Below are 24,765 nucleotides of genomic sequence, written 5' to 3' on the forward strand. Positions count from 1 at the left end.
TATTCCCACAGAATGTCCAAATCAAGAGAAGAGAAAGAAGTAAATGTAGGTTTCTGTAGTCAATTGTATTCACGTGGAGATATGTTGTTTACAGCTTTAAATAGTGTTCAGAAAACTCCAACAAAGGAATGGGCATTATACAAATGTTTGTAAGTATGTAATTATGATACTCATCTTTTGAATCTATAAAAATTAGAAATGTCCCCAGAAAGTTTTGCTACGTGACAATGGAACTAAAAATATAACAGCTACAGCTATCATCTACTCAATTCTTGGTTTCATTTGACAAAAAAAAAGTATTCTTAAAATTTTTTTTTAAATAAAAGAGCTTCTGAAGTGGTGACTTCTGCATGCCTGAGCCCGGCAACACTCCACAGCACCCCTCCTTCCTCTTCTCCGCACGAGCCAGCCTTGGTTGCGTGACTACCGTCCCCGTCCAATCAGACGCAGAATAAAAATGAAAAGGTCGATGATGTCCAAGTAGATGTTCAGGATAGCAAAAACATACCCTTCAGGGTCCAGGGAATAATGGCGGTGCCCTCCCAGCATGAGCTGCACATCGATCACCAAGTACTTGAAGAAAAGGAAGAATTAGCTACTTAAATTGTACATTTCTATGAAATAAGTGTCCCAAATGATCTGGAAAAAAAATACTTTAGCATCAGGAGAAACATAGTCGAAAGTCTGTTTTGGGCTGAATATGTTATTCTTACAGCCCCAGTCGGTCACTGGGTTCCCAAGTTTGTAGTCTATAAAAGCAGGTGCCTCACCTGAGCTGCAAATCCCTTCTCCCCCCTTTCTCCCTGTGTCTCATTTCAGCACCCTTGGAAGGAAAGAAAGCTAAGGTGGCAAATTATTCCAATTTGCCCAAGACTCTGATATTCTGGGGAAGTCCTCAGTCCCAGACAAACTGGGATAAATTCATCATCTTTATAAAAAAGGGGGAAAAAAAGCCCCAATGGCAGAGCATGCAGCTTTGCTCTCAGCCTTCATCTATCACCCTGGAGTCCCAGCTCCTATGCAGAAGTGGTTTTCTTTCCCTTCCCTTCCCAAATCTCTGGCTTTAATTTATTGCTTCTTGTAAGAGGGGGTATAATGACTCTCAATCATTTCACAGACATGCACGGGATGGTTAGGACTGTAGCTTCTCGGGAGAGTTTATGTGCTTGAGGGCAGACAGGAACATGGGAGAGTGAGATGAGCTCAATCCAGCGGTGCCCCGCCCATCCAGGAGGAACAGGGGTCAGGATACCACCCAAGACACAACCAACCCACAGGGAAGCCCCAGCCAGGATTCAGACTCCTGTGAGCATTTGGGAGTGAGGCACCCTGCCTCACCCGCATGCCCCCCAACTCTGATAGTTAAGCTTCCCCCAAAATTCAATTTCCTTTTCCAGCAATTTGTTTGGCATTGCGTAGACCTGTTTGAGTCTACAATCGTTTTTACTCTGCCTGCAAATGGGAAACAGAAACATCAACATACTTTTGCATGGAAACGTTGTTTGCAAGCATCAGTACAGCAAGCATCAACACAAAAGGTCTGAGAGTGTAGGAATAAAGGAAAATGAATGCAAATAATTTCCCTTTATAATAGGAAAAGAAATGAGAAAACTGAAATGTATATGCTTAACCTTGTCTACACCCATACCACCCTAAACACACCCGATCTCGTTTGAAATGTATATGCTTAACCTTAACCTCCTGGTGTGAATTTTTCTAACATTTGAAAGATATAACACAATCCCAACAACAATAAAAAGGAAGCAAAATGTGGGTAGTTTTTATGCCTAATGATAATATATGGGGTTCATTACACCATTCTCAATACTTCTGGATATGTTTGGAAATTTTGAAAATAAATAATATTAAAAAATAAAATCTTGGCTGGGCACAGTGGCTCATGCCTATAATTTGGGCACTTTTGGAGGTGCCAAGGCAGATAGGATTGCTTGAGCTCAGGAGTTTGAAATTAGCCTGGGCAACAAAGCAGGACCTTGTCTTTACTAAAAATAAAAATGAAGTCAGCCAGATGTGGTGGCATGTGCCTATAGTCCCAGCTACTGGGGAGGCTGAGCTAGGAGGATCGCTTGAGCCCAGGAGATAGGGCTGCAGTGAGCCATGATCATGCCACAGCACACCAGCCTGGGTGACAGAGCAAGACCCTGTCTCAAACAAACAACAAAACCCTGAAAGATGTGATATGATAAAAGCATGAAATGGAATTCCATGCAGCCCTTGAAAAAGATTAGTTGGACCCAGGTCTGCTAATATGCAGAAGCCATTATTTTTAAGTGAAAAAGCAAAGGCAGGATGTTATACATAGTATAGCTACGTTTGTGTAAGAAGAAATGGTGCCTATGTGTAAAGAAGTTCTAAAAGGACTCCAAGAAACTGTTAACAGTTCCTTCTAGGGACAGGGGATAAGAGAGAGATTTTAATTTTCATTTTATACTCTTCTATGTTGTTTGAATTTTAAAATGTGTGCATGTATTACTTTTTAAATAAAACATTCCTTAAAATAGTTTTAAAGATACAACAGCAAGAGATGGGACTAAATGGAAGGAAAGACGTTCCCAGATACATTAGCAGTGACCTCCACCGGTTCTCTAGGAGAAGTTTCTATTGTGAAAGAATAGAAACTGGTCTGGAGGGAGAAACAAAAAAGAAACCACACCCCTGCTACAGTAAGTTTCAAAGTTTATAAATAATTCTTCATTCTTTTCTGAAATATTCACTCTTTCAACAAAAGTGATGTTTTCGTGGATCCGGAAGACCATCTGGCTCTCCTAAGGGTAATGGTTTTAAATATGATCCTTTAAAAGGGAGCTGAAGAGTTTCCAGTGAATTCCTAACCCCATGTGACTCCAGGCCTAGCACAAGGGCTTGTCAATGCACATACCACACTCTTACCAAAGAGATGGAGCAATGGACTTACGAGTGAGAAGAGCACAGTTCCGAGTCCAGCATATAATAGATGCAGCCACTGCAAAGAGAAAAGATACGGCTGCATATGAAGAAAAATATTTGGAATAATGAAAGGGGCCACTTAGATCACTGCTGCCAGATAAGGAACCAATATTAAGAAAGCTGAATCTATGGGGGAATTCATCTTTTCTTTTTTTTTAAATTAAATTTTATTTTCTTTCAATAGCTTTTGGGTAACAGGTGCTTTTTGGTTACATGGATAAGTTCCTCAGTGGTGATTACTGAGATTTTGGTGCATTTGTCACCTTAGCAGTATATACTATATCCAATATGTAGCCTTTTTACCCTCACGCCCCTCCTACCCTTCCCTGCTAAGTCCCCAAAGTCCATGATAGCATTCTTAGTCAACAGCACCCACTCAATTCCAATAAGCAAGCAAATAAAAACTAAGCTTGCACATGCTAAATAATATTCACCAAGTAAATGCTAAACGTCTCATGCATGGTAGGGCAAGTAGAATGTATTAGATGTATTTCACTTCGTGCCCCATCCACATAGCCCTTCTAGAGAATCTTCCCTCTCCTCTCAGTTCATGGAACAGGAAGCCTTGGGGTCATAGTGACCTTTACACATCCTAGCTAGAGCTGATTGACAAGCAGTGGAAGACCCCAGCTCCAAAAACAGTGAGTCTGATGATTGATCAGGGACTTCTGATATGTGAGTGGGCTTAGACAGATGCACCAGGCCAGCTGGAAATCAATTCTCAGGATAGAGGGAACCAAGTAGCAGAGGCTGTTGTACCTTTAGCACGTGCTGGCACTATTACTGCTATAAGCAGAGGTGGCTAGTCAACTCAGCCACAGAGAGGAAGGCAGGGTTTTTGTTCCTGGGAAACCCAGTTCTTCTTCCCACCTAGGAGGTCTATGAGTTTCTCTGGCTCTTTGCCTCAAGCTAGTCTGAGTGGTATCTGTTCCTTGCAACATAAACAGCCCTGGTCAGAATATGGAACTAGTCTAAATGCCAAATGGCTTAGTTCTACTGGGGAAGAGGATTAAAAAATGGAGTACAACATCTGAAAAAAATATGGCATTAACTCTTCAGGATGAGCAAGCTGGTTCTGAAAGGGGTGGGCAAAGCACTGCCAGCTTTCAACAAGGATAGGTTCTTGGTGAAGATGATCAGAAGCCAGTGACACAGTCTGGGAGACACAGTATTTCCAGACTGAGCTAATAGTAAGAAAACACCTGATCATAGGAGTCCAAAGGTTTCAAAATTGCCAACGTCCAACAAGCATGTAGACTTAGGGAATGGCTTCAACAAAGTCTTCCATTTGAACACATGTGCAAGATTGTAGATATTTGTGAAAGAAAATTTAGAATGGGAATTAAGATCTATCTGTCTACTAGGAAACAGTTTTTTAACTTAAGTTATACTGTAAAGACCTATGGAACCCACCTAATATCTGCATTATTACTACCAATATCTCTGCTGCCATTAATTAGTGGAGAGCTGGGGCCTTTTAAGGCCCATCTTTGTGAGGCCTTTGAGTTTATCTCTAAAGTGCAGGTGCCACCTTCCTAGCTCTAAGCCTATGGGGTCATTCATAACACTAAACCAATCCAGGAAGAACTGTTGATTCTGTGTATGTCTGAAGACCGTGTAAATAGTCCACTTGTTGCCAAAGAAACTCCTTGGTTCAGCATTGGGACCAAGTTGGCCTTAAGGTTTTAGCCAAAATGGTCCCAGGCCCCAGACCAGCTCTCAGTGGATCTGGCCTCCAACAGGGCCTCCACATAGGGGCCACTCACAGATTGCCAACACCAATCACACCTCTCGGTCTCTACAGCCTTTCAGAGTCAGTCCATGGACCGTGCAATGATGTGGGAAAAGCATTGGTCACTCGAGTCACCCTGACCTGGCCTCAGTGCCACCCCAGCCACTCACTCCCTGTGGGACATAGATGAATTATTTAATTTCTCTGAGTCTCTTTTCTTATCTATAAAATAGATGAGCTATGTACTTTTCAGGAATGTTGTCAGAATTGAATGTGATGTTTTGTGAAAAACACATAGGCCTATGTCCAATATCTAGTAAGAATTCAATGAATATATTAAAGCAAAAAAAAAAAAAAAAAAAAACTAGAATTGGAAAATAAGGAGCCTCCTCTAGGCTGCTATCAGAAAGGCCCAAACAAGCCTTTCTGTACCACTCCTGGTACTTCAAACAAGCAGCACCCAAATATAGGAGAAGGAATCTGGCCTGCCCTCATGGGTAGGCTCACCTCGAGACCCTCTTAGAGAAGGACAACTGTCTAGGGTTGTAGCTCAATATTCATGCACCACAGCTTCTGTCCATGGTGCCTCCTAACGACCACTGTGGGGGCCACTAGGATTCGTCTCACAGACCTTCATTTACCGGGAGGGGAATGGAACTGACCACAGGCACAGATGCTGTGCTGTGCAACCCATTGCAGTTTGCACTTAGGCCATGCTTCCCACTTCTCAGTCCTTGCTGGGAGCAACAGAGCCCTTCCTGGAAGACACGGGACCACCCTGATGATTGACTTTAGCTCTAGGACTTCCTGATGGCCTTGCTGAGCCGCCCTCAGACCACGCCATATTTAGAATGCTCCCACCCAGCCTCCCCTCCCTCTCCTTCACTTGAGGCCTGATATGCCGTCATGGTCTGACAGCTCCCCCAGCTGTTGGCTCCCTGCCTCTTTTCTCTCATAGGCATTTCTCCTATTAAAATCCTTGCACGCTTATCCCCAACTCCATGTCTGCTTCTCAGAGGACCCAGACTAACATAACCAGCACTTCATCTATATGTTTAACAATTCTCTGAGGTTTCCCAGTAAGATCTGACTTACCTATAATCGCACGAAGATTAAGGTAATTCCATAGATTAAAAGCACGAAGCAGAAAACGAATAGTGCTCCATTTAGCCAGGTAAAATCCCACTGAGGAAACATAAGCAGCATAAACAACTCAGTTATTATCTATAAGAAATTTTAGGATGTTTAAAGATGCATTTTATACCCCATAGAAACTGGCCCATTGCTAATAATTTACCCTGATCAATTCCAAGAACCATGGAAATTCATTAGCTCCAACCACTAAAAAATACTACATAAAAAGTGTTATATTGACTGGGAGGAAAAGGTAGAAGTATGGGTGAAATGCCAGTAGCCATGAGTTGATAATTTTGGAAACTGGGTAATGGGTACTTGGGGTTTCATTACATTATTCTATTTTTGTACTTATATGAAATTTCCCATAATAAAAAAATACATTGAATAAGTAGGATGTATATTTGAAGATACAGGATGATCATAATCATTCATATGTTCAAAAGCATGTATATAGAAAACATTAACGGAGTGAAATATACCAAGATGTTAACTGGCTATCTTTTTCACATTTATATGCATACGTTCTAACAAAAGTATATACTAAGCTTTCAAAAGTTACTGCTAATGATTCTTTTGTAATCTGGAAATGTATAGATGTGATTTTTGTTTTTTTCTTTATAAATCAGTGACCCAAATCAGCCTGAGGAGATTAAGGTTTTCTTAAGAAAGAGGATGTTTATCTTCTGGCCTAAAAAAAAATTAGATTATGCAGACAAACAAGAGCCTTTAATTCAGTATATTTTCTTGCAGGAGTATTTTCCTAATTCTTTTGTTTCCCCCTTTTTCTCCCTACCCTTAATACACCAAGAGAATAATCCAAAACACTGGTTCTCTGAGTGCGGTTCTCAGGCCAGCAGCATCAGCACCACCTAGGAAATTCATATTATTGGGCCCCACCCCAGACCTACTGATGCAGCGACACAGATTGCAGGGCCCTGCAATCTGTGTTTCAACAAGGCCTCGGGGTAATTATGGTGCATGATAAACTTGGTCTAGGGCTGTGCTTTCACTACAGTAGCCACATATGGCTGTTGAGCGCTTGAAATGTGGCTGGTCTGAATTGAGGTGTGCTTTAAGTGTAAAATACACAACTGGATTTCGAATTTCAGCTCAAAAAAAGTAAAATATCTCATTCATATTTGGGTTATGTGGATTACGTGTCAAAATGGTAATGCTGCATATATATATATATATATATATATATATATATGGTTATGAGTTATATGGTTAAATAAAATATACTATCTAAAGAATGTCACCTGTCCCTTTTGACTTTTTACTGTAGTTACTAGAAAATTTAAGATTATACATATGACTTGCATTTGTGGCTCACATTATACTTCTCTTGGACAACCCAGGTCTGGAGAGCAGTAAATCTGGCTTAGGACAATGAAACCCTAAGGCTTGCTCCTTGTTGGCAGAAAGAAGATGTGACATCATTAAGGAAGGATAACTGGGGTGAGGTAAATTCAGGTGGGGAGCCCTGTCAGCTCTGACCAAGCCCAAGAGAGAGCAGGTTCCAAGTCACACCTGTGGTGGGTTGTCAGCTTCAGAGGCCCACAGAGCAGGCAGTCACTCTGGGGTCCAGGTGACAGTCATTCAGGAACAATGGTGGACGGTAGCATCCCCACCCCATCCTCGCCCTGTCCCCTTCTTGGCCAGTGCCAAGAGCCCACACAAACCACAGTCACATCCCATATTCCCAGACCCCACTTTAGAGAGAAAGGCAGGGAGACAGGGAGGCTGAGCAGCTGAGTGTTTTGTATCCACATGACACTATCACCCAGCCCAAAGGAACTGCTTCAACTGTGAGGTCCAATTACAGTTAAACCAAATGGACATTTAGTTAATTTTCTCCCTGCTAAGTGGACAGTTGGGGTTCATGAAAAAACTCAAGACTCATTGTGTTCCTACATTTCCTCTACACTGCTTGGGTTGTGGTTGGACTGAATTTTGCCATCTCCAATACATAATAAGGGAGAAGAATGTGGTTGACCATGGGTTCAGCTGCCTTTCAAAGTCATCAATGTGAATACCATCTTTAAAATATTTTCTGGCCGGGCATAGTGGCTCATGCCTGTAATCCTAGCAGTTTTGGAGGTGAGGAGGGAGAATCACTTGAGCCTAGGAATTCAAGACCAGCCTGGGCAACATAAGGAGAACCCTACTCTACAAAATATTTAAAAATTAGCCAGGTGTGGTGGCAAATGCTTGTAGTCCCAGCTACTTGGGAGGCTGAGATGGGAGGATCACTTGAGCCCTGGAAGCAGAGGCTGCAATGAGCCATGTCTGCACCACTGCACTCCAGCCTGGGTGACAGGGCAAGAGCCTGTCTCAAAAATAAATAAATAAACAAACAATAAAATAAAATGCTTTGCAATGCAATATTCACTCCCCTGAACCCAGGTCATAGGTTACCTGTGACTTAAAATACTAATGGGCTTTTTAAAAAGTATTCTGGCAGTTTAGAGGATTTTTTTTTTTGAGACATAGTCTCATTCTGTCACCAGGCTGGAGTGCAGTGGCACGATCTCGGTTCACTGCAACCTCCGCCTCCGGGGTTCAAGCGATTCTCCTGCCTCAGCCTCCTGAGTAGATGGGACTACAGGCGCACGCCACCACACCCAGCTGATTTTTGTATTTTTAGTAGAGACGGGGTTTTACCATGTTGGCCAGGATGGTCTCGATCTCTTGACCTTGTGATCCGCCCGCCTTGGCTTCCCGAAAGTGCTGGGATTACAGGCATGAGCCACCACACCTGGCCAGCTTAGAGGATTTTAAATGGCTTAAGGAGTCTGTGCATTCAACAGTGGTCCACCTTACTCATTGCAAGGAAGCCTATCTATTTACAAATAGGCTGGTTTCTACAAATGGCCAGCTTTAAGATGGCAAATACTGATCTCATCATGAATTAAAGTTGAATCTCTAACTTTTGATACAGTTTAACTAAATATCTAGTAGATCCTTCTGTCTCTCTGACACTTCTTTTTCCACTAGGAAAATGCTAAAATTCTGCATGTGTGTAAGATCTTCCTTATGATGTGTGCCAAACAGCTTGGGAAATGCACTCCCTTCTGTGTAAGTTATTTACCTAACTAAGGCCAGCCCATGCTTTACAAAAGGAAATTGACCAGGACTGAAAGGAGGGGCCGCAGGAAATGCTGCATCAGATCTCAAGAACACCCTATGGTTGGACAGAGGCTGAGCCATCTCACAATTCAACTGAAATAATCTCAAATTATGAGATGTTCTCTGGGACATCTTGGCATTTTGGAGCCTGGTAAACTGTACAACTTTTAAATTTTTAAATTCCCTGTATCAGTCAGGGCCCCAGCAAGGAACAGATGACACACTCAAATAGGATGATTTGAGGAGGGTTTGTTTGTAAAGGAACTCTCCACAGAAGTGTCTGCAGGCAACCAGAACGGGTAGTGAAGTAAGCTAGTCTGGCAGCCAGCCAAAGAGCTGTTACCAGCCCCAGGCCCAAAGAGGAAAGGAGAGGGGGCAGTTACAGGAGTCCAGAAGGTTGTGTTGAGTTGGCCACCTTGTGACAGGCAGTGAATCTTGCTAAGGCACACCGCTAGCCCAAGAGGAACTTGTCATTGGGAGGAAGCCATAGGAATCAGTACCTCTCTCTTCCTGCCTCCTGTCTCCAGCTGGAACTCCCCATTGGCCAAAGCCCATGGAAAGCCCTAAGGCAAGAGGGCCCTGGAGGTGAGACCTCCAGGACTGAGAGAGCAGGGGAAGGCATAGGAAAATGGGTTGGGGACAAAGGGACATACCTGGCACACTCCCTTCAATAATACCTACTTTTGTTTGTAGAGCAAACAAAGTGAGTGCTAGCATCACCAGAGTGGTTGCAGCTGTTGCCCATGACACTTCCTCGGCCTTGTAGAAACTAAAACCAGAGACTGTGATTATTGTTCACATACATTCCGAGAAAAGCACACACAAATCAAAGGAAATGTGTATCAAAGACTCACACTGATACGGCTCCTAGCTGCAGACCTTGAAGAGCTGTCTAAAAACAAAATTCACAATAAATCAGAAGCCTGCTTCCCGAGGCATGGGGGCGAGGCCCGGAATCCAGAAGAGGTGATTTGAGGGGTGTGCTTCTGAGCAGGGTCTAGGGAGCAAGGCGGAATATGCACAGCCTGGTACACACAGCCACAGGGCAACTATGGGGAATGAATAGAATTCAGTATTTCTGTAACATCCTCCCTATGATGGACAAGAGAAAATTATTTATTAGTAAACATTTCTTTGAACACAATAGTAACTTTAACATACTCAGTGAATTGAACATGTATTAATTATGAATGTAGAAACCAAGGTAAAAAGGTTCATTTGTAGACCATATTGTCATTCATCAAAGGGGGCCATCCACACTGTATCAATGTTTCATCAGGACAGGATATGCGGTATCTAAGCTTCATAACATTCTGGGTACAGATGCTTTCCAAGGCACCTGAGGGACAGCCTTCCAACCTCAGACATGGGATGAGAAACAAGGTCTTCCCAGTGCCGGAGATGGGGCTGGAGGGCAGATACTGGCAGAGCAGAGTGTGGAGCTGCGTCTGCAGGTGCAGTCCTGGGCTTAGGAGGACTGTCATCACCCAAATAGAGCCAGGGGTGCGGGGAAAGGTGGGATAGGGGCAGGGGCTGAGAGCCAGCAGGCAGTCAGGCTGGAGGATGAGACCAAGAAAGGCACTGAGGTTGTGCCCAGGCCCACAGTCAGGCCCACCAAGGCATGAGGACAACAGAGCAGTGGCCGCAGGGCTGAAGGCATGCCCAGCTCCAAGGCTGCTCTGCCAGAGGCAAATCCAGAGACTGGGCTGACCCACTGGTCCACGGGCAGAGCCAGGAAAGACTCCTCCAGTCTCCAGGGGTAAAAATGAAGGCCCATCCTAGTACGAGGCCTGCGAGAGAAGGCTTTGAACTCCCGCTGGCCAAGGATGGCCAGGAGCAGAGGCTGGGAAAGAAGTGGAGTCTCCAAAGTCCTGGGTTGCCCCTCTGGCATCTCCAAACCCAGTGGGTAATTGCCTGATTCTCTACTTTGTACAACTTAATTAAGTTGGCTTTCTCTATTTCCATTATAGGGAAAACAGTGTATCTAGTCTCCATACAAATGATATTTAATAATGTGCTTGCTTCCAGCCTTCCTCTCCAGATGACTTTCTTCCTCTTATACTGGATCGGTTGCTTCCTATTTCTCCAGCTCCAGCAGCACATGAAGGAGGTGTACATGTGTGTGGTGTGGATGGTGTATATGTGAGTTTGAGTGAGGTGTGTGTGGTGTGTGTGCCTGTGTGTCTGTGTAATATGTGTAAGTGTGTGAGTGTGCATGTGTATGTGGTGTATGTGGTATGAGTAGTGTGTGTAAATGTGTGGTGTGTGTATGACTGTGTGTGTATGTGCTATGAGTGGTGTGTGTAAATGTGTGGTGTGTGTGTGACTGTGTGTGTGTATGTGGCGTAAGGGGTGTGTGTGGTGCGAATGGCATGAGGGGGTGTGGAGTGTGTGTGACTGTGTGTTGTGTGTGTAAATGTGTGACTGTATGTGTAATTGGGAGCGACTGGGAGGAGACAGGGAGAGAGAAGAGGAAATGGTTTCAAGCTAGAAAATGGCTTTCGGTTTTTGAAAGAGTGGAAGAGAGAATAGGAAGAGGCCGTGGAAGTCACAACTGTCTGAAGACTTCAAGAGCTCAGAACATGGGCTCAAGAGGCCAAAATTCTATGGGACAAAAGCTGTTGTCAGTGAAATGTGTTTTCCTTTTTTCCCTCAACTCCTTTTCTGAAATGGGCTTTTTCCCATATATCTTTTAACCCTTGGGCATGAGGTTAAGTCTGGAAAACATAACTAATGCTTTGCCCCTGTATAATATCTCTTCTTTTAAGCCGTTACTTGCTTTGAGATAAACAGCAAAACCTCAGAGATGAGAGCTTCCTTGGAGACCAATAACTTTTATCTCTTGTAATAAACGTTAAGGCCATTTAAAATTTTTAAGTAAAAAACTCAAACATTTCTGGGAAACCAGCACGCCCTCCTGTCGCCCTTCCCCCACCGTCTCGGCTCCCAGATTCCCGCCTCTGTCTGGCTTCCAGCCCCGCCCCGTTCTGAGTGTGATCTGTGCTGTCAGTGCAGGAACTGGGACACCCCACTGCTGGCCCGGGCAGTGAACAGGGTACCCACACCAGCTAAGGAAGCCTCCTCCATGCTTTGGCAGGTGAGGCAATGTCCAAACGTGGACAGCAGGCAGCCCGTCTTCTCCAGCCTCAGGAGCTAGCTATTCCTCCCAGCATGTAAATCCCCAGGGTCGCTACACCGTACTGGTGCTGAGTCTCACCGACGGTCACGTGTTCTTGCTCACTTTGACCACCAGGGGGCGCAGAACCAAACCTAGGCTCCAGACGCGTGCATAGGACTTGATGCATTTTGTACACTAATCTAACCATTATCTTTATTTTCTAGCCCATTTTTCCTTTCATCAGATTTCTCCATTAATTGATCTTATCTTCGTATATTATGGATATTTTTATAAGCCACCTCAAGTCTTATTTGGAATCAGATGGGGAATAAATCAATTGGTAAATAAATCTTCCCGTGAAAGAATGATCAACACTGCTTGGGAAGAAATGCCAACCTTCCCCAAAAAAGAATCGTTTGCTGGCCGGGCGCGGTTGCTCACATCTGTAATCCCAGCACTTTGGGAGGCCGAGGCAGGCGGATCACCTGAGGTCAGGATTTCTTAGACCAGCCTGGCCAACATGGTGAAACCCCATCTCTACTAAAAATACAAAAATTAGCCGGGCGTGGTGGTATGCACCTATAATCCCAGGTACTCGGGAGGCTGAGGCAGGAGAATCGCTTGAACCTGGGAGGCGGAGGTTGCAGTGAGCCGAGATCGTGCCATTGCACTCCAGCCTGGGCGACAAGAGCGAGAGACTTCGTCTCCAAAAAAAAAAAGAAAGAATTGTTTGCTGACAATCTCCTGAATCATACTGAGACGGTTCTGGGTTTTCATAAGAGGACCCAAACACTCTCGGAGTTACTATCTGTGAGCTTCAGAGAGACCACACCTCCGGGAGGCAAGAGGTTTGGCTTGACCCGCCTGACTCCTGGAGGATGCCGGGTCCCTGGGGAGGAGCCCTGCGACCTTTGGGGAGCTAAGCCCTGAGTTGGAATGCAGGGAAACTGGTGGAAATTCGAGTTCTATTCAGGTTTAGAAAAATCTAGGAGCTTCAGGTACCTGCTGAGAGCTGGCACGATCCTGGGGTTTCTGTGGGCAGCACAGAAAGGAATTGGCTGCAAGAAAGGGAGCCACCCTGGGTTCTGTGGTCTAGGGTGGCACCAACGACAGAAAATGGGCAGATGTGGCGAAGCCTTGTGAGTGGAAGCCACCACAATGAGGCGCTGGGGAACCCGGAACGCGGGACCAGGAACCAAGCCGCAGTTAAATCAGGAGAGCCCTCTCAGCCCCTGACTCTGCGGTGCTGGGAAAGCCCTCATGAGCTGAGATGCATCTCAAGCTGTGGAAATGAGGGAGAACCTCGCTCAGAGATGGGTTCTGCTTCCAGTGGGACTTCAAGAAGAAATAAAATACATTTTACAAGAATAAAGAAATATAAACTTCTTGCACACGACTTTGTGAACTAGACGTGGAATCCACTCTCCATAACGAAATGTGTTTGCACCTGAGAGGGGTCCCAGCAACAGTCAGGTTAACTGTTCCTGAAGTGCAGCCCAGACTCGGGAGTGCGCTCCCCAAGGTGCCCTCATCAGAGGCAAGTGTGCCAGCAGGAAGTCGCCCAGATGCCCAGATCCCCTAATCTGCTCAAAGGGTGTGATACCATCTCATAAGTTTACTACTTCATTACAAACAAAATTCCGCCAAGAGAATGTTTCACAAGTAATTTCTATCTGTATTGTTCCACAGGAAGAGTTTCCACAATAAAATGAATGAATTTAATAACGCGACAAAAATATATTTCAGAGGTGAACTAGAACAGGTGCTGTCAAGGTTTACTTACAAAGAATCCCAGGAGAATGTAATCTGCAGGCACCTGACGGGGGAGATTCCCACAGCAATCAAGTATAATAAGTATGGCAAAAAATGCTGAGCTGGAGGATAATTTAAAACCACGTGTTATTTGCTTTCACAGACTATATCATAGCGTATATTATACAGAGATAAATAGATGTAGATATAGATCATAGTAATACTTACCATGATCTTACTTATCTCATAGTATTATAAACAAAAATGTTAATTATTATTTTTGCCTTTTCTTAGTTTTGTTTTTTTTTTTTTTTTTGAGACAAAGTCTCGCTCTTGTCGCCCAGACTGGAGTGCAATGGCGCGATCTCGTCTCACTGCAACCTCCACCTCCCGGGTTCAAGCGAGTCTCCTGCCTCAGCCTCCCGAGTAGCTGGGATTACAGGTGCCTGCCACCACGCCCGGCTAATTTTTGTATTTTTAGTAGAGATGGGGTTTCACCATGTTGGCCAGGCTGGTCTACGAACTCCAGACCTCAGGTGATCTGCCCTCCTCGGCCTCCCAAAGTGCTGGGATTACAGGCGTGAGCCACTGCGCCCGGCCTTCTTAGCTTTTAAAATTAACTTTTCTCATTTCCATCCACAGATAGCTTATGGGGCATTAAAATATTTTTATTTTAAAATAATTATAGATTCACAGGAAGTTGCAGAGAGATAAAGAGGTCCCGTGAAATCTTCACTTAGTTTCCCCCAGTGATTACATCTCATGTATTTATAGTACAGTACCAAAACCAGTAATTTGACATTGATACAGTGTATATATCATCTATGTCATCAAATTATGACACAAATCTATGTGCAGATGCCTGTAACCTCCATCACAATCAAGATTCAGAACTGTCTATCCTTCAAGAAAACATGCACAAAGACCTCTCTTATACTGCCCCAGCCCTGTATAGTGTGAAAGTCACCAGTGCCAAGATGGAGTCACTTAGGTCACACCCAGAATGGAGCCAGAGGTCATGAAGGAGGGGATCTCATATATCTGAGATAAGAACTAGCCCAAAGACCTTTTAAAAACACGCAAGAAATTTCTATATGCCCCACATGTCCCTACGTGTCCTGCCCACATGTCTATAATAGGGTATATCACAAAAAATTCCTCAAGATCGCAGCATTCCAGCCAAGCTGCTCTCACAAAAACACTTGCCTGGCAATGGCTGTCTCCACCAATGACTTAGCACCAGCTCCCGTGACAAGCCCCTTTGACCAATGATCTTTGTTTCAAAATAATTTACATAGACTTCTCTTTGCCTTTTAAAGGCTTCCTCTTATCCCAACCTCTCCATCATCCATCATGGCCCGTGTATCCCACCTGGCAATGCCCCTGCCACTTCCGAATACACTCTGCAGGAAGCCTCTCTCTCTATCGTTAATTTAGGTTGACAATAGTAACACCCACACCCACACACTCAACCCTAACTCCTGACAGCCATTGATTTGTTTATTTTTCATCCCTATAATTGTATCATTTCAAGAATGCTGTACCTTGTACCTCATTTTGAATAGTAAAAGAATCTCAGGCAATAGACAGTAGAAAAAACATAACGTATTAAGTCCAATGATACTTACAAGATTGCAGAGATGAACCAGGGATTTTTGAGCACCCAAACTTTTAAAGCCTCCCTGGTTAAAAAAAAATTTAATACAGTTTTACACAATAAATATTTCACTAACTAATATGATATTTAAGTAGAAGTAAAGCAATATCACGAGAAGAAAGGAAGAAACCCTAACTGATGAATAATGATGGATGGGGAATGAAACAGTGAAACATTCTTTTTCTTAAAATAGATATATTCATAATAAGTTATAAGTAAAATTTGGATGAATGCAAATGTCCTAATAAAGGTTTTTATTTTTAAAATGCTGAGATTGATATGTGTGCAAAGCAAAAGAACTCAACTTCTCATCTGTTTGTTTTATAAATATAGTTTTTCTTAGGATATGTTTAAGCAGTGACAGATCATAGTCCCTCAAATAAGTTCTTTTTTTTGTCTTTTAGAGACACGGTCTTGCTCTGTTGCCCAGGCTGGAGTGCAGTGGCATGATCGTGGCTCACTGCAGCCTTGAACTCATGGTCAAGCGTTCCTCTTGTCTCAACCTCCTGAATAGCTGGGACTACAGGCATGTGCCACCACATCTGGCTAATTTTTATTTTTATTTTTGTAGAGATGGGGTTCTCACTATGTGGCCCAGGTTGGTCTCAAACTCCTGGCCTCAAGCAATCCTCCCACCTAGGCCTCCCAAAGCACTGGGATTGCAGGTGTGAATCACTGCACCCAGCCCCCTCAAATAATTTCTGAATTTAACACTGTTCCAGCCTCCAAGGTCTCCATAATCTCACCTTTTTTTTTTTTTTCCTTGAGAGAGCATCTCGCTCTGTTGCCCAGGCTGGAGTGCAGTGGCTCAATCTTAGCTCATTACAACCTCCAACTCCCAAGTTCAAGCTATTCTCCTGACTCAGCCTCCTGAGTAGCTGGGGTTACAGACATCCACCACCACACCTGGCTAATTTTTGTATTTTTAGTAAAGACGGGGTTTTGCCATTTTGGCCAGGCTGGTCTTGAACTTCTGATCTCAAGTGATCCGCCTGCCTCAGACTCCCAAAGTGCTCAGATTACAGATGTGAACCACCACGCCCAGCTCACCTTTTCTTCTCTATCCAGTTTTAACTGTTGAAACAGCTCAGGAGAAAATAAAAAAGAAAGCAGTGTCCAAAATAAGAGTTTTAAAAAAGTTTTTTTGCTTCGGTTAGGAAATGAAAGTAAAATTCTAGAAATCTGCCACCACCTTGGTCTAGGAGTTGCCTCAGGAAAACAAAAACAGACAAACTATTCTTAAATGATCAAAATTAAATTAAGCTGATTCAATAAAAATTAATGTGAACAACCTAACACTTAATTCTACATCAGTCATAAAGACTTACCAGAAAATAAACACACTGGTAATTACCACAGTGAGCAACAACTGAACTGACAGGAGGAAGAACACTTTGATAATGAAAGCTGAGGAGACAGAAACACTATTTTTATGACACAATAGTCAAAAGTAACAACATAAATGTAATGACGTATTTTTGATATTTAATGAAAGGAATTTTTTTTTTTTTGCTCTTTTTTCAGGATGGGAAAGGCAGTGCTAGTTTACAGTCAGCAAATAGAATAACAACAAAAATGCAGCTCTATAGAACTTTTAGAGCACACTCAATCCAGATGGTTGGATAGAGGTGTTTTATTGGGGATCTGATGGTTTATTCATGGGAGCTCCAGAATTTTCTCTTTTTTCTTTTTTTTCTTTCTTTCTTTTTTTTTTTTTTTTTTTTGGAACAGAGTCTCACCGTGTTGCCCAGACTGAGTGGAGTGACGACACAATTTCAGCTCACTGCAACCTCTACCTCCTGGGTTCAAGCGATTCTCATGCCTCAGCCTCCTGAATAGCTAAGATTACCACCACTCCTAGCTAATTTTTTTTTTTTTTAAGTAAAGATGGGGTTTCACCATGTTGCCCAGGCTGGTCTCAAACTCCTGATCTCAGGTGATCCACCTGCCTCAGCCTCCCAAAATGCTGGGATTGTAGGCATGAGCCACCATGCCTGGCCAAAGCCCAGAATTTTCAAGACAAACTCAGGAATTTAATTCCTTGTCATGCACATCCCATCCTCCTTAGGATCAAACATGATTTGAAATCCTCACCATGTCACAGGCCCATCATTAGGGATCCAGCGACACTACCTCCCTGCATCGGAGAGCAGCAGCACCTCAGGACTGTGGGAGACGGGGGGGCGTCTCCCTGGAGATGGACTTGGGCTGCAGAGGGTTTGTAGAGCTTTTCTGCCACTTTTCTCTCCAGCCTACCCGCCTGTAGAAACTCTCTTCTCTTCTGCATTCTGATGCAGAAATAGATAACTTGGCGAACTGTACATGAGACCAAAGAGTTCCAAGAGAATGACAGGCCAACATACAAGGCACAGCACGTGGGCACCTCTTTCTGCTTATGTCCTGGGCCCTCTGAATATGGCACTGGCAATGGCAATTTGCCTTTTGTGTGGCTTTATCCCAATTTCAAAGAAAAAAAAGAAGTAATGCTGCTTAAAATTAACTTACAGGATCGTCGACTGTCCTTTTGCTGGGAAGTTTCTATGCATAGGGAAGTATGACTACAAAGCAGTGGGTCTAAACTGTCTTAATAAAAATACCAGAACATATATTACCAAGTGTATGCTGCCTACATTAAAATATTCATTTAGCTCACATTAATTTGGCATCTGCTATGTAGCAGGGACTGTGGGGGAACAAATATTAAATGTGGCCCAGGCTCACAAGAACAGACACAGAGATCAATGGAATCAAAGTGACAGTCCAGAAACAAACCTTTATATTTACGGTCAATTGATTTTTAACAAATGTGCCAGGAAAATTCAATGAAGAAAGAATAATCGTTTTGACAAATGGTGCTGGGAAGACTGGATATACACCTACAAAAGGATGAATTTGGATCCCCAACTAACACCAACTGCAAGCCATAACATGCAGTCATAATGGCCATAGCAGCCTCAGCTACCATCTCATTGTAAGTGAATGAGAGCTCCCAATTCAAGAGCAGCACAAGAGTTGACCAACTGAGTCAACCCACAGAATTATGAGAGATAATAAAATGGTTGCTGCTTTCTTTAAGTGGGCAAAGGATTTGAATAGACATTCCTCCAAAGAAGACATATGAATGACCAATAAGTATAAGAGAAAATTCGCTAATGAAATGCAAGTCAAAAGTACAATGAGATAACACTTCACGAACACTAGAATGGCTATAACCAAAAAGACAGACAATAACAAGTGTTGACAAGGATGCAGAGAAACAGGAGCCCTCATACATTGCTGCTTGGAATGTAAAATGGTGCAGCCACTTTGGAAAAGTTTGGCAGTTCATCAAAATGTGAAACACAGAGTTACCCTATGGTTCAGCAATTCCTGGGTATCTACCCAAGAGAAATGAAAACATATGTCTACACAAAAACTTCAATATGAATGTTGATTGCAGCATTATTCAAAATAACCTAAAGGTAGAAACAATCTAATTGTCTGTCAACTGATAAATGTATAAACAAATGTTTTCTATTCAGGCAATGGAATTGTATACGGCTCATTCATAAAAGGAATGAAATACTGACACGTGCTACAACATGGGAGAACCTCAAAAACATTAAGTGAAAGAAGGAAATCACAAAAGACCACATGTTGTATGATTCCATTTACATGAAATGTTCAAAATAGATTCATAGAGAGGTCTGAAAGTAGATTAGTAGTTGGCAGGGGTTTGGGGGAGGGATGATGGGAGTAACTGCCAATGGGTATGGGTTTCTTTTCTTTTTTTTTTTTTCCTTTAGTAAAGATGGTGTTTCACCATGCTGCCCAGGTTGGTTTTGAACTCCTGACCTCAAGTGATCTGCCTGCCTCGAACTCCCAAAGTTCTGGGATTACAGGCATGAGCCACTGCGCCTAGTCTGGGTATGGGTTTCTGTTTGAGGTGACGAAAATGTTCGAAAATTGATCATGTTGATGGTTATCAACTCTAAATACACAAAATACCAGTGAATTGTACACTGAAAAGGGATTTTTATGATTTGCAAATTATATCTCCATAATACTGCTTTAAAAAATTACAGCCCCCATAACTCAATCCATTACCCTGCTATACTTTTCCTTTTCTCCACAACACTTTCATATTTTCATATACTATATTTTTTTTAATTGGACAAAGGCCAGCCTCTGCCCTCCAGGAGAGGCAGATATAAACAACTGACTCTTACACTGGCAAGGAGGCTCTACATATTTTTCAATTAGACCTGAAAGACTAATTCGATTAGACTCCTTAAGCCTCATTTTCTCACCTGTAAAATGGCAATACAACTTCTGTATTTGTAGGGTTGTTGTAAGGACGAAACGCAATAGCATTGCCCTTGCACAACACCCTGTGTAGGCCTGATATTGATCTCAGAGACAGCCAGGTGCTTAGTGATATCCAATATCCCTGGCTTCCTCACTATTTGACCCAGATCTTGTTAAGGGTGGCAATGGGCTCAGCTGAACAACTCCAAATAGAGGTGGCCATGTGATACAGGTGGGTCAATGACATGGCATTCAAAACTCTGGGTGTGGTTTCTAGAAATGCCTCTGAAAAGAAGACTGGTTTGGTCAACTCTCAGGATACCTGCAGCCCTCTCTTGGCTCTACTTTGCCTTTGGCTGTTTGCCTTTTCCTTCTCCTACCTCAAAGGCTAGAGCTTCAAAAGGCAGCTTTCCAGCCACAGGAAAGGAGTGGTGAGGGCCACAGGGAGACCAATAGGATTCAAAGCTCACAGTCCACCTGCAAGTTGTTCAGGCCCTCAGAAGGCCTCAGGGTGGCAGAGTGGACACTTTAAAACTTAAGCCAATATTGTGGTATCACCTTGTATACAAGTAAAAACATTTTATGATCCATGATTAATTCATATTTCCTTAAAAAAAAAAGTTATTCACCATACGTTTCTTATGAGTTTCTGAATGCCCTGGACAACTTGGAAGCAGTCAGTTATAGCAGTCCTACATCATATTTTATGAGAAAGCATGACTCAGAAAAACTAAAAAAAAAATTATATCTGACAATCTTCTCTGTGGAAACATTTTAAGAGAACATATGCTCTTCTCTTCTAAAAAGGTAATTTCTTTATTCTCACCTCTGCGGACAGATGCGTCTGAGAAAGGATTGCCTAAAGTTGCATTGTTATCACCTGGGGTGACGTCATCTGAAATTTCTATCACACAGGTATTCAACTGCTCGGTGTCCTTTGGCCGTGGCTTCTTCCGAGTTTCTTGTGGCCCAGCTGAAGATGAAGGTGTGTAGCGCTCACCAGATTGGGACTGGATGCTTTTATCTGCTGCTTCCTGAATCAGATGTTGATGACCTCCAGAACCAAAGTCTATTGGTTCGCTGACCTCCAAGTCCAATTTCCTAGAGGGGAAGAATTGTTTTTCATGTCCTTATGATTACACCTCTACAACCTTAGCATCCTCAGAATCATCAGGCGATTTCTTCTTAATTGTAACTGGCTTGGCTCAGTACTTACCAAGTTGGTGCTTAGTAAATATTTGTTAAATGAATGATAACATTTAAGATGAAACCCATAGAGTAAAATAATTTGATTGTATTATGAAATTAATTTTTTAATAGAATTTATTCAGCAAAAACTTAATGAGTGCCAAGCATGAAGCTGCCCTTGCTGTCTCTGCCCTCAAAGAGCTTATATTTTGGAAGAGAGTATAATCAAGCAATCATATAAAAGGCAACATAGGTCGGGTGCGGTGGCTCTTGCCTGTAATCCCAACACTTTGGGAGGCCGAGGCGGGCGGATCGCCTGAGGTTGGGAATTCAAGACCAGCCGGGCCAACATGGTGAAACTCCGTCTCTACTAAAAATACAAAAATCAGCCAGGCATGGTGGCAGGCTCCTGTAATCCCAGCTACTAGGGAAGCTGAGGCAGGAGAATCACTTGAACCTTGGAGGCAGAGCTTGCAGTGAGCCAAGATCGTGCCACTGCACTCCAGCCTGGGAAACAGAGCGAGACTCCATCTCAAAAAAAAAAAAAAAAAAAAAAGGCAATATAAGCAGACCAGGAACATTGGAGGAAGTCCTGAGACCCCTGAAGGAAATCTGGAGGAACTTGCAGGGAGTAGAAGAGGTTGTCAAAAGCTTCCAGAGAAACTGAAAGTTAGGCCATGGCTGGAAGCGAGTAGGGATTAGTCAAGTGAAGAGGTGGGGAGAGGTTTTCCAGACAAGGAACCAGCCTGGACCAGGACTGGAGAAGGCAGGGAGGGCAAGTTCCAGAAACGTACCTGGAGCAGGGAGTTTGAAGGGGAGAGTGGAATGAGGTTACACAGAGAAGTAGTGGGCATGCCTCTGAGAGGCTGGCAAGCCAAGTTAAGGACTCTGGACTTCATCCTGAAGGCCATGGGTGTGATTGGCAGAATGGCAGTTCCCCAGTGATGTCCACGTCCTAGTTTTTGGAACCTGTGTCTATGTTATCTTGCATGTCAAAAGGAACATTGCAGGTGTAATTAAGTTAAGGACTTTGGGATGGGGAGATTATCCTAGATTATCTGGGTTGGCCCAATCAAATCACAAAGATTATTATGATTATAGGTATAACAAGGTGGCAGGAGGAACAGAGTCAGAGAAGGAGATGTGACAACAGAAGTAGAGGTCAGAGTGATACAATTGTTGTCTTTGAAGATGGAAGAAGGGGGCCATGAGCCAAGGAACGCAGGTGGCCTCTAGAAGTTGGAAAAGGCAAAGAAATGGCTTTTCCTCTACAGCCTCCAGGAAGGAACCAGCCCTGCCAGAACCTGGATTTTAGCCTAGTGAGATTGGTTTTAGGCTTATGACCTCCAGAACTGTAAGATAATAAATGTGTGTTGTTTTAAGTCATTCAGTTTGTGGCAATTTGCAACAGCAGCAACAGGAAACTAATACAATGGGGAATCAAGGAAGGTTTCCCAGCAGGGACCCATGGAGATCTCCTAGAAAGAAAGGTTACTCTAGGTAGTGTGGAGAATGGGCCAGACTAAGCCAAACTGAGGCAGAGACCAGAAATCCAGATATGAGATGGCAGTGGCTTTGCCACAGTGCCTTCCAGTCTGAACACAGTTCTTAAGAAACTACTACTAGGCCGGGCACGGTAGCTTATGCCTGTAATCCCCGCATGGGCAACAAGAGCAAAACTCTGTCTCAAAAAAACACAACTGCTTGGCAGATTTGGGGTACAGGAGCACTTTAGATACCATTACAAATATTAAATGCAAAAAAGATTTTTTTTTTGAGACAGTCTCCCTCTGTCGCCCAGGCTGGAGTGCAGTGGTGCAATCTCGGTTCACTGCAAGCTCCACCTCCCGGGTTCATGCCATTCTCCTGCCTCAGCCTTCCGAGTAGCTGGGACTACAGGCGCCCACCACCACGCCCAGCTAACTTTTTCTTTTGGTATTTTTAGTAGAGACAGGGTTTCACCGTGTTAGCCAAGATAGTCTCGATCTCCTGATCTCGTGATCCTCCCTCCTTGGCCTCCCAAAGTGCAGGGATTACAGATGTGAGCCACCGCACCCGGCCAAAATGCTAAATTTTAAGTGTAATATTTGTGATATTTACTATACTGTAAGAAGAACTTTAACAAAGAAAAGATGGGCAACCCAGTAAGAAGATGAGAAAAGGCAGGCACAATGACTTACAACTGTAATTTCAATGTTTTTGGAGGCCAAGGTGGGAGGATTGATTGCTTGAGTCCAGGAGTTTGAGACCAGCCTGGGCAACATAGTGAGATCCCATTTCTAAAAAAAAAAAAATTAGCCAGGCATGGTGACATGTGCCTGTAGTTCCAGCTACTCAGCTGGCTGAAATGGGAGGATTTCTTTAGCCCAAAAGTTCAAGGCTGCAGTGAGCTATGATTGTGCCACTACACTCCAGCTTGGGCAACAGAGCAAGATCTTGTCTCTAAAACAAAGAGAGAGACAGAAAAGAACATAAATAGGCAATTCATATGGTCAATAAACTTAGGAGACAATACCTCACAAATAACCAAAGAACTGCAAGTAAAAACTAAAAAGACTGGCAAAGATTAAAAAGATAAGTCTCAGAATTGCAAGGCTGTGAAGAGATAGATAATAGAGAATCCAGGGCCACAAAATGACCTCCATGGACCCTATACATGTTTTTGTTCATGGGTCCTTTCCTCCAAAAAAATACTAAAAATTATATGTTACGAGTGAATTGGTGTAAAGATGAATATAATCCTCTCTGGAGTCATTATATATTATATATTCATTATTATATTCACTTTTTTCTCCTGCTTTAAAAAATTAAAATGTGTTTATGGCCCCTAAAACTATCGTGAGTCCTAGGCACTGGTCCTACTCGCCTAGTAAGTATCAGTCCTGGGACACCTTCATGGGGGCATAAACGTTTGGGGGGTGGGTGGCAATTTAGCAGCATCTATCAGAATTCAAAATGTGTCTTACTTTAGACCCAACAGTTACATTTTTTGAAATTTATCCCATAAACCTTTCCATACAAATAGGCAAAGATACATGTATAAGGAAGTTCATTACACCATTCATTGTTTGTAACTACAAAAAATTTTTAAACAGTTTAAATATCCATCAGCAGGGGAATGGTTAAATTAATTTTGGCACAGGAAAAGGCAGATATAAATGGATTGATGTGGAGAGTTCACTGTTACACACTTTTAAATTTAAAAACTAACATTAGAAAATAACATTGAGCAAGATCACATTAATGTTGTACATACACCCACACATACACACACACTTCCCGAGACTGGAAAGTTACACTATAAACTGTTCATATGATCATCTCTAACCCAGCAGAGTTGGGAAACACACTCTGAATAGTATGAATTTTTACAATGAGCATCTATTACTTATATAATAACGGAAAAAGATATTTACATTGTGAAGAGAAAAGGAAATATTTCTCTTTTTGATAAAGTTTGGACTCCTCCGAGGAAAGCAGTCTTCACGCAGAGCTGAGAGGCACTAGAGGATGCTCAGATAACCAAGTTGATTTCCTCTCCAGTGTCTTGCAAATCAGAAGGGGCAGAGGCAGCAAGATTTTCAAAGCACTCAAAAACAAAACAAAACAAAAAACAAAGCCACAGGCAACTGAATTTTCCTCATGCAACTGTATTTGGCTGGTGCCTGAATCACAAAATGAGGCTTTCACTTGGCCCTCAAGTAGCTCTCCCAGCTCCTGAGCCAGTGGTCGGTCATCCAAAGCCTGGGCAGGTGCTGGGACTGAGAGGCAATGTTCTGAGCGACAATTAGGAGAGTG

General features: G+C 43.1%; 1 pseudogene across 1 annotated transcript, besides 2 other annotated features; it reads right to left on the reverse strand.

Annotated features, from left to right (window-relative positions):
• Positions 1-24,765, reverse strand: TMBIM7P (transmembrane BAX inhibitor motif containing 7, pseudogene; annotated as a pseudogene). Its single transcript, NR_145992.1, has 10 exons — positions 24,384-24,765; positions 20,606-20,880; positions 16,821-16,899; positions 15,464-15,517; positions 13,867-13,957; positions 9,820-9,857; positions 9,647-9,734; positions 5,795-5,884; positions 2,936-2,983; positions 1-573 (listed from the first exon to the last, which is right to left on the reverse strand). The product of NR_145992.1 is annotated as a transmembrane BAX inhibitor motif containing 7, pseudogene (transcript).
• Positions 10,420-10,920: an enhancer, noted in NCBI's record as "H3K4me1 hESC enhancer chr7:92052283-92052783 (GRCh37/hg19 assembly coordinates)". NCBI's record gives its function as "activates a minimal SCP1, AML or CMV promoter by ChIP-STARR-seq in primed H9 embryonic stem cells {active_cell/tissue: H9 hESC(primed)}" and the evidence as "EXISTENCE:reporter gene assay evidence [ECO:0000049][PMID:30033119]".
• Positions 12,178-12,297: a silencer, noted in NCBI's record as "silent region_18370". NCBI's record gives its function as "represses an Ori minimal core promoter by ATAC-STARR-seq in GM12878 lymphoblastoid cells {active_cell/tissue: GM12878}" and the evidence as "EXISTENCE:reporter gene assay evidence [ECO:0000049][PMID:35858748]".

Source organism: Homo sapiens, chromosome 7 (genome assembly GCF_000001405.40).
Source record: "Homo sapiens chromosome 7, GRCh38.p14 Primary Assembly".
In the NCBI taxonomy this organism is placed as follows: domain Eukaryota; kingdom Metazoa; phylum Chordata; class Mammalia; order Primates; family Hominidae; genus Homo; species Homo sapiens.